General features: G+C 38.2%; 1 long non-coding RNA gene across 13 annotated transcripts in view, besides 1 other annotated feature; it reads right to left on the bottom strand.

Moving 5' to 3' along the window:
* Positions 1 to 17,546, bottom strand: part of LOC105375523 (uncharacterized) — a 459,019-nt gene that overhangs the window by 265,783 nt on the left and 175,690 nt on the right. The gene's annotated exons all lie outside the window — the stretch shown is intronic.
* Positions 10,416 to 10,616: a silencer, noted in NCBI's record as "peak6754 fragment used in MPRA reporter construct". NCBI's record gives its function as "represses an SCP1 promoter by STARR-seq MPRAs in K562 erythroleukemia cells {active_cell/tissue: K562}" and the evidence as "EXISTENCE:reporter gene assay evidence [ECO:0000049][PMID:32103011]".

The following is a 17,546-nucleotide window of genomic DNA, read 5'->3' as shown; positions in this document are numbered from 1 at the left end:
AGACAATCATCTCTATTCCTTAAAAGCATAAATGGTGGCCCCAGCCGTAGGAAAGCTGTGGTCAAAACAAAAGCAAAGGGCTGGACAATGAGAAAGCTCTTTGATCTATTTAAGCTAGAACACGAGGCTCCGTCACCGGCCAAAACTTGAAAGAAATCTCACCCGCAGAGGGGTGAGAAACCAGTGGGGGTAATATTTGGTTATCACTTGATATAATTGTAGTACAGAATAAAAGAAGCTTTATTGGAAAACACTTTTTCCTGGAACTTCATATCTTATCAGGCTCATGGCCTTACAAAAAGGAAGAAGTAATTAACTGTATCCTCGCAAAGAAGACATAGAAGTCTGCCTGATTTCTGGTCTGACTACCCTATAATTTTACCCTAGAATAATAGAAATTGAGCCATAAGTCAAAATATTTAATCTTAATACAATTGTGTAAACAATCCATCAAGGGTATGTAGTTTGTAATAACAGCCCTAAATATTACAACTTAAATATGAGTTGTCAATAAAAAAAAATACTGAAAGCAACTTAATCAGTGAAACTTTGTTCTGTAATCCTGTAATAGACATTAAAGGAAATATTCAATACAAGGACACTGAATTCTAAAAGAATTCAATACAAGGACACTGAATTCTAAAAGAACTCAATTCTGGCATTTTCTAAAAGGATTTAATATATTTTGACAATAACTCAATCTAAACATATAGATGTATTTTATATATACATTTTTCTACATTAGAAGCAGTTTGATTCACAGGCTGAGTTTCTAAGAAAAACAAATAAGCAGACGCTTTCAATTATTTTAAGAGAAGCCCTGAACCAATTAACATATTCTTACTACAGATACTTGTAAGGTACTTAACCTGATAAGCACATAATCAAAATAATAAGTAAGGAGCAAAATAGAAGAAGTGGAAAAGCAGAGATGTTTTAAGGAGAGAAATTAAATGCAGCTTTTGTGTTGTGGTATTTCCAAGAGCATTATAAGTTTGGGTTCTGAGGCCAGTTCTCAAGAAGTTCGTTACATTTTCTTAACAATTTTGACCAAAATTAAAACGAGCTATTCCCAAGAGGATGGCAGTGTCTAAATGAGGACCTCATTGTCCAAACCTCCTCCTATCATGGTTGCTGGGTATTAATTTACTTCTCCACTCACTGTGTTTTTAGAAATAAAGCACAACAGTATGCTTTAAAATAAGTACACCTAAAAATAATAAGACACTTTTTAAATGTTTCTTTAAGTTTTGGGATACATGTGCAGAATATGCAGGTTTGTTACATAGCTATACATGTGCTATGATGGTTTGTTGAACCTATCAACCCATCATCTAGGTTTTAAGCCCTGCATGCATTAGGGATTTGTCCTAACGCTCTCCCTCCCCTTGCCCCTCACCCTCCGACAGGCCCCAGTGTGTGATGTTCCCTTCATTGTGTCCATGTGTTCTCATTGTTCACCTCCCACTTATGAGTGAGAACACGTGGTGTTTGGTTTTCTGTTTCTGTGTTAGTTTGCTGAGGATTATGATTTCTAGCTTCATCCATGTCCCTGCAAAGGACATGAACTCATCCTTTTTTATAGCTGCATAGTATTCAATGGGGTATATGTGCCACATTTTCTTTATCGAGTCTGTCATTGATGGACATTTGGGTTAGTTCCAAAGGACACACTATTAATTAACATTTCTGCTCATTATTTAAGCAAAGACATACAATTAGAGCAATTCTTAAAGAATTTCAAATACCTAAAGATAATCTATTTTCTCAGTTTCTGAAGGTTGGAAGGGTTGAATTTTGCTTCTCTGTATACAAAAAAATAATAATAATAAAATGAAGCAGTTGTATGTTTTTAAGAACTAACTAGATTCCTTAAGAAAACTGTTTGTGATTATCAGAGTCTCAGGCCTCTAAGGAAGTAAAGAAGGGACTGTCACAAACAGTGGGAGGTAGTTAGGACATAGGGCTTCCTTCTTCTTGCTTCACTCCATCCCACATTTATCTGTTTTCTACACTGGAATTCCACATAACATTTTATCTGAAAATAGAATTCTGCTTTAGAACAAAGGCCGTTTTTAAGGAAATGATGACTATAGATGGCCAGGTGAACATTTTCTAGGATGAAGAGAATTAAAGTGATGATAAAAGAAAAAATAGAGGGAACTAGGGTTAAGTATACAATAGCCAATCTCTTTCAAAACTTCATTAGCTTAAATCTTTTAAAAATTTACTAGTTGAGTTATGCAATTCCTTGTTTCCATTACTCTCAACACAGGGTATATAAAACTGGTGTATAGCTGTGACGCTTAGTTTTATAGATCAACTTCGCTGGGCTAAGGGATGCCCAGATAGCTGGCAAAATGTTGTTTCTGGGTGTGTCTGTAACAGTGTTTCCAGATGAGATTAGCATTTGAATCAGTAGACTGAGTAAAGCAGGTCTGCTCTCAGCAATGTGGTGAGCATCATCCAATCCATTCAGGGCCCAAATAGAATAATCAGAGAAAAAGCAAATTATCTCTCTTCTTGAGCCAGGACATCCAACTTATCTTGCCCTCAACATCAGAGCTCCTGGTTCCTGGGCTCAAACCAAGAGTGACAGCATCAGTTATCCTGGTTCTCAGGCCTTTGGACTCAAACTGAATTACATCACCAGCTTTCCTGGTTCTCCAGCTTGAAAACCACAGATGGTGGTACTTCTCAGACTCTGTAATCATGTGAATAACCAATTCCCATAATAGATAGATAGATAGATTAGATAGATAGATAGATAGATAGATAGATAGATAGATAGATAGATAGATAGAGATATTCTATTGGTTCTGTTTTTCCAGAGAACCCTAACACAACAGCCATGTGTCACTGTGTACATAAAGCCACAGAATAAAGAAATGTCAGCTGATATTATTATTATTCCTAGAGTGTTAATCTTATTTAATACTAATGAATTGTATTAAAACAAACCTGGTTATGTTATTAAATAAATCTAAAGTTCAGTAAATTTTAAGATAAAACCCGAATCTTCTCAGAGATGATGTACTTGCAGAGGGCCACTGTGGTCTATATCCCCAAGCTCCCACAGCTGTGCACTTGCTCTACATCACCACTTAGAGTAGTTCTCGTTGCAGAACGCCAAATACAATGAAGCCCATGATAGCATGCCCCATGATGATGCTAAGTGGAATACAAAGTGATTGGCTATTGGTTCCCAACCCGTATTCTCAAAAGAGGTGAGCTGATGTTATCTTCTGCAGTAGAGAAGGGGAGAAAAGAAAGAAATTATCACTATGTATTTGTTTATAATCACCAGACTATTTCTATATAGCTGTTAATAAAACAAGGTTATTTTTTTCTTTTTTTCCTACAGCAACTGGTAGGCCGACCAAAAAATGTTGTTTTACATTATCCCTGCAATAATGAGACTCTACATTTTATGCAATTGAACTGTTCAAATATTCTTTATAGCATTATGCAGGAGTTTGCTGCACTTAATCTCCCTGGACTCTTTATTGACCAAGACAACAACCCATCTAGATTGTAGTTGTCTTGTCTATAAAATGAAAACTTGAGTACCTTAGGGAGGATAACTTTGATACACAAATGCTTTTCCCTTTCCCTCATGACCATGGCAGACATGAGCCTGGATGTAGTCTTGAAGCCCTTCTCCCTGTTTTCCAAGAAATCAAATCCAGCAACTGGGGGTGGATTATAAACTATATTTGCCATCTCTGGGATGGCTTATCTCCAAGTATTCTCCAAGCTCTAAGATTTATAAGTGATATGCTGAACAGGAGTCACAAACACATAGCCCCTCTCTGTCCAGAGCCTTTCTTTGGCTCCTGCTATGTATAGGAAGGAATGCCAACCAGCCACCCTGGCCATAAGGTAGAATGCAGAAATCCAAAGTAATTATCTACAAGATGGACACAGGGAAAGCCCCAGCCAGCTCTGAGACCTCCCTCTCGGGCACTAGATTTTCTCCTTTGTTATTTGAACAGAAGGTGCACATGGAAAACTGCATGTGGAAAAAGTGTGACAACTTGAGGAACTTGAGATCAAGCAAGATCTTGTATGTTTGAAAAACTGAGCTATCGGCCGGGTGCGGTGGCTCACGCCTGTAATCCCAGCACTTTGGGAGGCCAAGGTGGGCGGATCGTGAGGTCAGGAGATCGAGACCATCCTGGATAACGCGGTGAAACCCTGTCTCTACTAAAAATACAAAAAATTAGCCGGGCGCGGTGGCGGGCGCCTGTAGTCCCAGCTGCTCAGGAGGCTGAGGCAGGAGAACGGCGTGAACCCAAGAGGCGGAGCTTGCAGTGAGCCGAGATCGCGCCACTGCACTCCAGCCCGGGCGATAGAGCCAGACTCCGTCTCGAAAAAAAAAAAAACTGAGCTATCATTCCACTTCTCCAGAAGTCTTCTATATAACCTAATCAAAAATAGAACCAGGTCCCAAAGTAACAGGGACATGGAGGTTAGAAAGGGTAAGTCACTTTCCCAAAGTTACTGAATTTAGGAGTTAAGAAAAATGGCTTCTAGTTTTTTCTCACTTCATGCCATGTTCAAAGAGGGCACAGTTTGGATTAGAAAGACTGGTGTTTTAAGTTGTGCTTTTCGTCTATATTTAGCTTAAGCAAGCCTCTTAGCTCCCGTTTCTTCATTTATATTCTATCTAGTGAAGGATTGATAATGGCTCTCTCAAATGTTTGTTGTGAGGATTAGAATTTAGCTGTGTAAAGCAACGCCTAGCATAGTCCATGGCACTTGCCCAGCATTTTAAATGTTATAGCCATTTGCAGTGGATCAGTCGAGCAGCAGACACAGATGTGTTAAAGGAGAAGGAGAAGTCAATGGTTAACTTTGAGATTTATCAAAGGGAGGACTTTGGGGGCAGTAATGCTGCTAGCCAAGATAGGAAATGTTAATTTCCACTAAATAATAACATGTCTCAGAGGAAAACAATATTAAATGAACTTTCAAGGAATAGAGATTGCTAAGCTTCAAGAGACTTGCAAAAATCAGTTCATGTCTCTGCCTTATGTAGGCAAACAATTCAGAACAAATAGTTGTCTCTTTTCTTCTTTAAGGTCACTAAGGAAAGAACACACGCAATTTCTCTGTACATTCCATTTCAGTTTGATCCCTTTACGGTCCTGAAGATCTTCATTAGATCCAACTGCAATCTCTCCTGCCTTAGTGTAAGCCTTTTTCATCTTATTCTGTCCTTTGCTGATAGAAAACTTGTTCAGTTTTATGGGACTAAAACTCTTCCTAGATGGTAGTTATCCTTCACTATCTCTTCCAAAAGCAAACCAATCTCTGTTATTTCTGTTTTCTCCACAGTATCATTCTCCAGCTCATTATTCACCATTTTCATTCTTTCTTAAAACTTCTTCCCTTTTGTTACATTTTTAATAAGAGATGATAATGATGAAAATTATTTTAACACTTTGGAAAATCAACTTTCTTATCCTTCAACTTGTCAAATTCTTCCTCTTCTCCATCCAAACATAGCAAAACAATTATTTAACCTTGATGTTTTACTCCCTGGGAAGCTTGAATTTTGTGTAATTGGCTGTTAAATGACCCAAGTGCAGAAAGATATATAAAGTGTTTGAAAATGTGTTTTTAAATTCCTCCCTCAGATTATTCACATGCTAATAATAGTAACAACTCTTTGAAACACTGAAATAATGCTGAAGACATCACAGGTGCATAAAGATGAGGTGCCAAAATTTAATCTCTGGTTTTAGATCTGGTATCTTTGTAATAACCCCACATTTTTTACATTTTCTTAAGAAATAAACACTGAATTGAAAACAGAATTTTAAAAACTAAAGCAAAAATTATTGAACTGCCGATTGACAGTTACTACCATTGGAAGTAAGAGTCAGGCTAAGGGTGTGGGCAGTGGTTACTTAGCATTGTCACCATAGCACACGGGTCCAGATCCCTGCAGAAAGGAAACAAGCCTTCAGCTAAAAAAGGGCCCTGGATAACTTCAGCCTGGCTGACAGAGCAAGACTCTGTCTCGGGAAAAAAAAAAAAAAAAAAAAAAAAAAGGCCTGGATAGATAGATGAAATCTTTCAGGCATAATGAGACAACAAAAAGAATATGTAATGCTCACTAACTGTGCTCCCGAAAATCCCACTAAAAGAAAATGGAATGAAGAAACTTGCAACAAGCTTAATTAAAGTTTCTCTTAAAAACTGATCTGACCGGCCGGGCGCGGTTGCTCAGGCCTGTAATCCCAGCACTTTGGGAGGCTGAGGCGGGTGGATCACGAGGTCAGGAGATCGAGACCATCCTGGCTAACATGGTGAAACCCCGTCTCTACTAAAAATACAAAAAATTAGCCGGGCGTGGTGGCAGGCACCTGTGGTCCCAGCTATTCAGGAGGCTGAGGCAGGAGAATGGTGTGAACCCAGGAGGTGGAGCTTGCAGTGAGCCGAAATCATGCCACTGCACTCCAGCCTGGGCAACAGAGGGAGACTCCATCTCAAAAAAAGAAAAAAAAAAAAACTGATCTGTTTTTTTTCTGGCAGCAGGAGTGGTGAAAAAATGAAGAGTAAAGTTTTTATAAAATATAAAATCTGTTTCTTTTCTCAATTTCTACCTGAGGCTAAAAGAAAAAAGAAAAGTCGTTTTCTTATATTCTCCTCTCTCTGCTTCTCACACACAAGTTCTCATTAAATCTCTTTTTTTCCCAAAAACCTCTTCCCTTGACTGATGACTTTTGCTTAAGGCTTAATCTATGTTTTCTCCTTATAATTGAATGGCATTGTGTCCAATATACCCTGCTGTGACATAGTAAATCATACTTTCTTCAATCTCCATAATGCAGTTAAGGGATGTCAGAATTATCTTAGAGATGACAGATTTCCCATATCTAAGGATGATAGAGCTGTCCCTAGTGGAAAAAAAAAATCACCTCATAACATTTTAAAAATTCTTTGCAATGTTCAAATAGTTTTGAATTTAAATAAAATAGGAACTCGGCCCTTTTAAAGAAACACAGCGGCCCAGCATAGCTGCTCAAACCTGTAAATCCTAGCACTTTGGGAGGCTGAGGCGGGCAGATCACCTGAGGTTGGGAGTTTGAGACCAGCCTGACCAACATGGAGAAACCCTGTCTGTACTAAAAACACAAAATTAGCCTGGCGTGGTGGTGCATGCCTGTAATCCCAGCTACTCAGGAGGCTAAAGCAGGAGAATCGCTTGAACCTGGGAGGCACAGGTTGCAGTGACCCGAGATCACGTCATTGCACTCCAGCCTGGGCAACAAGAGTAAAGCTCCTTCAAAAAAAAATAAATAATAACACCTAGGAATTCTTAGTGGAACCAGGTTCTAAAACTGCAGAATTTGGTAATTGGGTGATCTATGGCTGTGTCATGCCAAGAACTCTCCCAAGAGCTCAGAGCTTTGGAAAAGCAAGGCAGTCTGCTGAGTCAACTCTGGCCACCGGGCTATGTCCAAGGAGCTCTCCTGACTGGAAGCCAAACTTGCTACAAGAGAAATGGTACTTTGGAAAAAGTGGATTGTTTATTGTTTGATTTTTCACTAAGAAAAACAAAAAGCTTGAAGCAGAGGCTTTCTGAGGAGCATGGCTTTCTAAGCTGCATCCAAGGACACCTACCATAGTCCTTCAAATAATGACAGAAGCATGCTGGGCCAATAGTGAGGCCACCAGGTTTAAGCCTTTTTGCTTTTGCATTCCTTCCATTTCCTTCTTCTTGAGCTCTTTGGGGTATCCAATGAAGACTTTGCCTATCTTCTTTACAATCAATTCAGAAAGAATCGACATCAAGCATTTTAAACTTTCAATCATTCAACCAATTTTATGGGGTGACCTCTTCTAGGCATTTATATTTTGAGAAGTCTTTTACACATAAATATACATTGAAAATGTTCAGTTAAGGAACCAAAAGGCTCTTCCTGAATTCTTACTGTATTTTCTGACACTGGATTCTGTCCTGAATAAGAAGAACGAATACTTCTCCAAGTGGTAGCTTGTTCTCCTAAGAAAATGGGCCTGGCCAGTGGCACCACTGGGGCTCATGAGACCCCATTTCCCAGCCCATGCATTCCTTAAAGGCAAAGGCAATTATGTACCCATTCATCTTGTAATCTCACTGTAAGAAGTAAGACTCTGAAACTTTTTTAAAAATTTCCCTTGTAAAATTAATTTTATTGAGGGATTGCAAATACACTTACCTTAGGCCCACTACTAAGATGACCTTTCATATATTTGTTTTGCTCAAATGTGTCTCTATTCAGAAAGCCTAAGATATATTTGTCTTATAAGTAGAATAAAAATTAAATTTTTATTCACTGAGCATCCCCTAGGCCCCATAGTATAGCAAAAACTCAACAGATCCCCCAGATAGGGTCTCTCTATTCCAGGACAGTAATTGTCAACTATTTACCTCAAAGGGCTTCTTATCATTTTCTCCCATGGACCTCATGATTTGAAAGATATTAAGTAATTCATTTTTTCTTTTCACTAATCTAACAAATACAGCTGCCAATAATCAGACCTCTGGATAAATTGAGATAAATATATTACCACAATGGAGTTATATAACCTCAGCCCAAAGCAAAGAAATTTGACATTTTAATTAGTCTGTGCATGGTTGTTGTGAATAAATGTATAATTCCTTTGAGATTTTTCAAGTCATCAAAAATAGCTCATAGAGTCTCATTACCATCCTGTGGGCCACCTAGTTAAGAACAGAGCCTCAGTGCTCTCCCTCCCTCTCTTACTCCCTCTAACCCCCAGAATTTCTGTCTTCTCTAGTGCTGGATTGAAAAATATCAGTGAATACACTGGCCCATCAACTATTAATGTCTTATGCACTTCATTCCCCATTTTATGTCCTGATTTTTATTTCTCAGTGAAGTATTCACATGGGCTCCCAGTGTGGTAACACATTTCATCCCCAGCTTGACCCCAGTGCCCCCATGCTACTAAACTAACCTCACAGAGAGTGACAGCTGTGAACCAGCCTTGCAGGTAGGTAGCTTTGCCAGGAAGCCCAAGCACTTCAGTTTGGTCAGAATACATAAAGCTTTCTTAATTCAGTAGGGGAAATACGGTTGCTTCCAAGAATAAAATGGTTGTTTTAAGAATGTTTTCCCTTTTTTCTCTTTTATTTACTGGTGGGCAGAGGAGAGAACATTATATAAACAGAACATCAGTTAATTAATTGCACCATGAACATTTCAAATGGGTCGACCTGAGGTTGTGTACTTACAATCTTACAAAGTCATCACACTAGGGTGGGGGAGCAGGTAAATATAGTCCCACTGCCCTCCTAGAAAGTCCAAATTAAAAAACAAAACAAAACAAAACAAAACAAAAAAAAAAAAAAAAAAAAAAAAAAACCTCTTCTCCTGTACATGGTGCTTTCTTTTCTTTTCTTTTCTTTTTTTTTTTTTTTTGAGATGGAGTCTTGCTCTGTTGCCCAGGCCAGGGAGCAGTGGTGCGGATCTTGGCTCACTGCAACCTCCACCTCCCAGCTTCAAGCGATTCTCCTACCTCAGCCTCCCGAGTAGCTGGGACTACAGGTGCGTGCCACCACGCCCGGCTAATTTTTTTTTGTATTTTTAGTAGAGACAGGGTTTCACCATGTTAGACAGGATAGTCTCAATCTCCTGACCTCGTGATCTGCCCTCCTCGGCCTCCCAAATTGCTGGGATTACAGGCTTGAGCCACTGCACCCAGCCCGAGGTGCTTTCTTTAAAGTGCTATTGTTTAACATAAAATATAGTGGGATTAGATGTTTGACCACATTGAAGTGACATCCAACACATCCACTGCCTGAAAGCTGCTCTACGATTTGCCTCTTTTAACCAGGAATGGACATTTCAGATGCAATTCTATTTGCTGTTTTAAGTGAAAAGGATCTCAAATGATATACCCATAACTTACTGCATGTCATCCATTAACATTTTTTCTTTAAAATACATTAGTAGCTTTAGCTAGACCTTTTGTTCCTCTCTTCTTGGACATCCATTTGCCTAGGATCAGTGAAAAGGAGAGCTCACTTCCCACTGGGGCGTTCTAATCTCCCTGATGCCTGCCAGATTGTGGGGATCTCCTTTACCAGCAAGCCAAAGAGGCTGGGGCGTGCATGTCCCTCACCAGGACTATGCGAGTCTTATAGAAGTAGGAAATGAGAGACAAAACAAATGAATTATTAACACTTCTATGATTCACAGGAAGACAAAGGCTCTGTTAAGCTTTAGGGAAAAAACATCTTGCATCAGCACATCTTCATCAAGACAAGGTTCTTTTCTAATGTTCAATATCCGTTACCTCCATTCTCAAAAGCCTATAAATCTAAGGAAGATGTAATTTGTGGTAAAACTAGCCAATACTTTAGAGTAATGGTATTGAGGTTTGATGACACTGAGACTCGCCTCCAAGACTCTTACACGGATTCATAACAGTAGGCCATGACAGTCAGTAGATTTGTTTCCTCTCCTGACAGAATAATATGGCGCCAAGAGGCCATTTTTCTTGGGCTTCTACTAAGCTAAGCACTTATGGGTGAGTTGCTTGCTCTCTGTGCTATTCAGCAGAGCACAGAAATGAGACCCCACTGTCAGCTCCTGCTGCCTTGTTCACTCTCCTTGGTCAGATGTAGTAATGCCACTGTTATTGCCTGTAACACTAAGCTGTCCATTCCCTGGGATTGCGGGAAAGTTGAAGCAAGTCAGAAGCTCCTGACTGTACCAGAACATTGGCTGTATGACAAGGTTTCCTGCCCATTTCATCATACAGTCTCTCCTGGAGGTCTGTGTGTTATTCTCTGTCAGATTCCTGACCTTCTGTTTACCAATGACCTCTAGCAACCGTCCAAGGAACATTGTCTTACATCCATCCTTGTCTTTCATGTCATAAAATCCTACTTGCTCACCTGGTTCTGGCCCCCATGACCTCAGGGGCCCTGCAGTGACATCTTATTCTTCCTGGTCTAAGACTCTATGGTACACCACCCACAGGAGCCCAGAACAACATGGGGACCCACCCTGCCTCCTGGATGGTTAGTGTCACTTCTCCTCTGCTCTAAGGACTTGCCTAGAAATCGCGTAATTCCCTTCTCCTAAAGTCAACTGAAATGATTCAAGTTTTTTGCCAGGCAGTATAATCATGTATTTATCTGTTTCCCTCTAAATGAGAAGCTTTCTTAGGGAAGAAGCCAAATCTTTTTAGCCATCCATACCTGGAAGTGCCCTTTTTGTAGTAAGCATTCAAGAAATGTTGGTTGAATTTAATTGAAATGAATATTTTTGTTTGTAAGTGTAAAAAAAAAAAAAATTTATCCTAGTCCAGCTGGAGCTTGTACGTGAAGGAACTGGGGTGATTTAGTACATGGATTCTTAGTGTGTGTGCGTAGACCAGGGTAGGAAGCCAGAAGGGAGGTTATCCATTTCCCGCAGACAACTTCCAAGGTCCACAGCTCCCTCCTCCCATTCCATGCTTCCTCCCTTACTCCTTATGAGAATCTCTGCGTGAGAGATATTACTGAAGGCAGCATGCTGTGTCTGGGCAAACCAAAAGGAAGAAAACAGAAAGTGCTGGACATCCACTCATTCACTGATGGATGATCTTAAAGAGCTTGCCGCAACAACTATGTACCAGGAGATATGATGTTGGGTGACAATGGGATTTATCACCAGCCTGTGCATGTTGACCTGAAATGGAGCAAAATGGGGCATGCTGTGAGGAACTAAGAAGTATGAGAAAACCCATCATGAAAAGCAAGTAGCCCTGGCAGCCAGAGTCATAGCTGCCAGCAGACTAGGCTGTAGGTAGAGGTGCTTTTTAAGGAATCATAAACTAAGTTGGCAGATCTCTGCAGGGATGCTGCTGATGTTCAAGGATGCTGCTGATGTTATCTGCCTTAACAGCACACAAACAAAAATGAAATATTGGGACCCAATCCCTAATGCAGAGAAAGAAAACAACTCTTTGAGGATATGGAAAGACGAGTCCAGTGCATGTGACCCTGCCTTCCAACATGCATCCTAAAGACTCACGGAAATAAACAAAAGACTCTCTACCATACACTAACTCCCTCAAATCCTAAAACCTCAGTTGACAGGGCCCAGTTCCTCTAAAAATCTTTTCTGACATGCATGTGCACGTATTCACACCCACACCACACACAGTCTGAACCAGATGTCCCTCTTCTGTGCTCCCGTAGCCTCCTCTCAGCACCTGTGGTCACCCAGAGGTTACCTGTCTGTCTCTCCCATGGGCCATGAGCATAATGAACATAGACAATATGCTTTTGCTTTTACACAATGGGGACCTATCTAGAAGTACATGTTTTCCCCTCAGTGAATATTTATGGGCTCAAAAAAAAGTTATTGGGAAGTGGACAAAAGACAGTTTATTGTCAGGTGAGTACAGTATTCTCTTTTCTCCATCCCCCAGCAGCCTACCCACACTAAGTTTGTATATCTTGGCCTTCTCATTCAAGTGAGCTACATCTTAAATCAGCCCACATTTTTAAGATATCACCATACTTATATGGTGATATACATACCGTGGAATATAATTCAGCAATAAAAAGGAAAAATATTATCAATTAATATAGCCACTTGGATGACTCTCCAGAAAATTATGCTGAGTTAAAAAAAAATTTTACACTTATGTAAAATCTGAATCAAGGGCCACAGTCAATCTCAATTGCCTGGTCATGTTTAATTTCTATAATATTTCTAAGTTTTTTAAGCAAGTGGCATCCCAGCAGCCTGGTTCTGTCAAAGCTATAGACATTCCTGAGTATGTCTGAGTTTTTACAAGATACATTGTTAGGCCTCACTCTGGGACCAAACATTAGAAACACTAACCTTGGCATTAATCATGTTTGCTATTTAAGGAAAAGAAAAAATAATAGGGCCCCTGGAAACATTGCATAGTGTCCTGGAGGTTGCTTCCTTTCAGAGACTGTAACATCCAAATCAAAGGACAGAGGGAATCAGGAAGAGTAAAAATACCATTCCTCAGCCAAGGAGCCAGAGGTCCTTGATTTTAGATTCAAGGCACAAAAAATATAGGACAGCCTAGGAGATCTTGTTCCAGAAAGCAAGCAAGTGCACAAAGAATAATAAATTGATGTTAAAAGGACATGAGAGACCGTTTAAAGGAGCTTCCATTGGCCAGGTTTGAGACATTTGAGTATCAGAAAGAATAATGGCAATAATTGATTGAAAAGCATTGAAAAATGTAAGGTCTTCTGTGACATCAGTAATGAAAGCAAGAAAAAGAGAAAGGGAGGGAAGAAGGAAGGGAGGAAAACTGCAAGAAAAGAAGAAAGGGAATGAAGGAAGAAGAAAGGAAGGAAGAAATGAATAGTTTGAACTATGGAGGTAATGATTATACCATAGTCCTGAAAATTTATAATAAAAAAAGAACTAAGCATTTACCCTGACTTTAGAGAGAAAAATATAGTTCCACTCTAGTTGATAAGATAAACCACCACAGAAGAATGTCAGTTCATAAATTAAGAAGGAATAAAAGAACTAAAAGTCACCATTTTACAAAGCTTAATAAATGGTTGATTCAGGCAAAGATTATCAATGCATTCTAAACCATAACAGAAAGGATCACTGGGGAATAGGCTATCCTCACAGTGCCAAAGAACTATGCCAGAAATTGCTAAGTAAAATAATCATGCATCTTGACACAGGAAAGATTTTGCAGTCTACACTTTAACCAAACAATCAGACTTAGCGTCACGATAATGAGACAACTTGATATTATAAAGTCTCCTATTGTCATACAGCATGAGGTACACAGCATAACTTAAGAAATATTCTTCCCAAAAATATTTAACCTAAATCTCCTCAAGCCTCTAGATGTAATGGTCCAGTTTACAAGAAAAGCAGAAATGAAGGACCAGGCTAAATGACACCGCAGGAGAACAATGAACAAACCCAGTTGGCATGTCCTACAAGACAACTGTACTGATATCTTCAAAAATATTCCCCTTTTTAGGGGAAAAAAGTAGTAAACTAGACTAGATTAAAAGATGCTGCAGAAAATATACACATTGCAAAGGAAGAAATAAAATTATCTCTATTTGTAAATAATGTGATTAAATATTATTCCAAGGAATCTATAAAAAAATCTTAGAATAAGTGAGTTCAGCAAGACCAGAGGATACAAAATCAACACACAAAAATCAATCACATTTCTATATGCTAACAATAAATATGTAGAAACTGAAATTTAAAGCATAATATCATTCACAATTATTTCAAAGAAAATACTTAGGTATATACCTAACCAAAAAAATGATCTGAATGCTGAAAATTACAAAATACTAATGAAAGAAATTGAAGAAAATCTGAATAAATGGAGAGACATAAAATACTCATGGATTGGAATACTGAACATAGTAATAACGTCAGCTCCTCCCAAATTGCTTTAATGCAATTTCTATCAAAATTCCAGCAAGGTGTCTTGTAGACATAGATAAGTTTATTTTAAAATTCATATGGAAAGCCATAACACTTATTCTAAAATTCATATGGAAAGGTACAGGTCCTAGAATAGCTAAAAATAAATTAAACAAAAAAGAATAAAATGGGGGGAAAATCACTCTACTTAACTTCAAGACATAATATATAGCTACAGTAATGAAGACTATGTGGTATTGGTGGAGGGATAGACACATAGACCAATGGATCAGAAGAGAAAAAAGTAGAAATAGAACCACATAAATATGCCTAACAGATTTTTAATAAAAGTGCAAAAGCAACTCAATGAAAGAAGGATAGCCTTTTCAACAAATGGGACTTGAGCAACTGAACATAGGCCAAAAAAAAAAAAGATTAACTTTGACTGAAACTTCAAACCTTGTACAAAAAGTAATTTAGAATGGATCATTAACTTAAAAGTAAAAACTATAAAACTTTTAGGGAAAAAAAGCAGAATATATTCCAGATTTAACACTAAGCAAAGTGTTATTAGACTCAACACCAAAAGAGTAACATGGAAACTTAACAAGTTGGACTTCATTAAAATATAAAAATTTTTATTTATGAAATACCAGGTGAAGAAGATAAAAAAAACAAGCTACAGAGTGGTAGAATATATTTGAAAACCATGTATGTGACAAAGGACTAGTATCTAGAATATGTAAAGAATGCTCAAAATTTAGCAGTAAAAAAAAAATCTATTAGAAAATAGGCAAAAGACATGAACAGACATTTTATTGAAGAGAATATACAGATGACAAATAAGCACACACACAAAAATGCTTAACATCATGAACCATCAGGAAAATGCAAATTAAAACCACAATGAACTATTACTACTATATTAGTCCATTCTCACACTGCTATAAAGAAATACCTGAGACTGGGTAATTTACAAATAAAGAGGTTTAATTGTCTCATGGTTCCAGAGGCTGTACAGGAAGCATGGCTGGGGAGGCCTCAGGAAACTTACAGTCATGGCAGAAGGTGAAGGGGAAGCAGGCTCGTCTTACATGGCAAGAGCAGGAGGAAGAGAGAGAAGAGGGAGGCGCTACACACTTTTAAACAACCAGACCTCACGAGAACTCACTCAGTATCACGAGAACAGCAAGGGGAAAATCTTTCCCCACAATCCAATCGCCTCCCACCAGGCCTCTCCTCCAACACTGGAGATTACAATTTGACATGAGATTTGGGCGGAGACACAAATCCAAACCATATCAACTACACACCTATCAAAGTGGCTAAAATGAAAAATAGTTAACGATACCAAATGTTGGTGAGTATGCAGAGAAACTGGATCACTCACACATTGCTGGCAGGAATACGGCCACTTTGGAAGAGTTTAGCAATTTCTGAAAAAAACTGAACATGCACCTATCATAGAATCTAACAATTACACCCTTGGGCATTTATCCCAGAGAAATGAAAATGTATGTTCACACAAAAGTTTGCACACAGATGTTCATAGCAGCTTTGTTTGTAAAACCAAAAACTGTAATTAGTCCAGATGTCCATTCACCAAGTGAATGGTTAAATAAATTGTAGTACATACATACCATGGAATACAATTCAGCAATAAAAAAGAAAAAATTATCAATTAATATAGCCACTTGGATGACTCTCCAGAAAATTATGCTGAGTTAAAAAAAACAATCCCAAAAGATGACATTCTGTATGGTTACACTGTATACCATTTTTGAGATGACAAAATTTCAGAAATGATGGACAGATTAGTGGTTTCCAGGGGTCGGGCATGGGGTGGGGCTAGGAAACAATAGGGGTGCAGTTGTGGTTATCAAAGATTAACAAAAGAGATCCTATGGTGTTGGAACTATTCAGTGTCTTGATTGTAGTGGTGGAAATACAAACCTACACAGATGATAAAAATTATATAGAACTTAATACACACACACATATAACAACCTGAGCAAATCTGAATAAGTATTTCTTTTACAAGCTGGATTATATCAATGTGAACAACCCAGTTGTGATATTACACTATGGTTTTGCAAAACATTCCAATTGGGGGAAACTGGGCAAAGTGTATACAGATCTTTTCTTTATTATGTCACCGAAGTGCATGTGAATCTACAACTATTTCAACGAGGGGTGGGCAGGGAGATGAGGTGAAGAAAGGGGGAGAGACAGAAACAAAAAACTAAATAGATATAACAACAAATTGCAACACATCACCTTGTTTGGATTCTATTGGTTTTAAGTTATAAAAGAAACTTTGGAGAAATTGGGAAAGAAATGAATATGGACAAGATGTTGATTCATATTTCATAATGATTGTTAATTATTTTAGATGATAATGGTACTGTGGTTATATAGGAAAAACTTTCCCTTTTTAGAAAATAACATGCGGAAGCATTTTGAGATGAAGTGCACAAGTTGGCAATTTCCTTTCAAATGTGTGTGCACTTATACATATACATGTATGTGTTTGTACATAAGCGTATATGTATTTAATGTTATCCATTTAACATTTTTGTATTTTGAAGTATTCATAGTAAAAGTTGGATAAAAGTTTAAAATATTATTGAAATAATTATAGCCTAAAGAAATAATCACAGATAGAGTGAAAGATTGCTATACAAGGATTGTGTGTGTCCAGCATTATTTATAATGGCAAAAAATATATATATAAATAGAAGCAATTGGAATGTAAAGTAACTAGGCTGTGAGCTCTGTGAAGGCTGAGACTTTTCCTTGGTCACTGAAGTATCTTCAGCACCCAGAACAGTACCTGATGCAAAGTAGACATCCAACAAACATTAATTGAATGAATGAATGTGTTTAACATTGAAGAGATAAAATCGATTTGTGGCTCTATCATGAAGTATTAACAAACACTTTAAACTTGCTTTTTGAGAACATATAATGACATGGGGAAATTATCAACTTGAAATATCTTAAGAGGTCTTGTCTAATCCCAAGTGCTCAAGATAAGTTAAGGGACTAACAGATAAACAAACGGGCAGGTAGTATAACACGTTGTTAAAAGAAGCTATTCTTTGGTGTAAGGTTATGGGTGATTTTGTTTTC

Source organism: Homo sapiens, chromosome 7 (assembly GCF_000001405.40).
Source record: "Homo sapiens chromosome 7, GRCh38.p14 Primary Assembly".
In the NCBI taxonomy this organism is placed as follows: domain Eukaryota; kingdom Metazoa; phylum Chordata; class Mammalia; order Primates; family Hominidae; genus Homo; species Homo sapiens.
The sequence above is the reverse complement of the archived record's forward strand: the minus strand, read 5'-3'. Positions and strand labels throughout refer to the sequence as shown.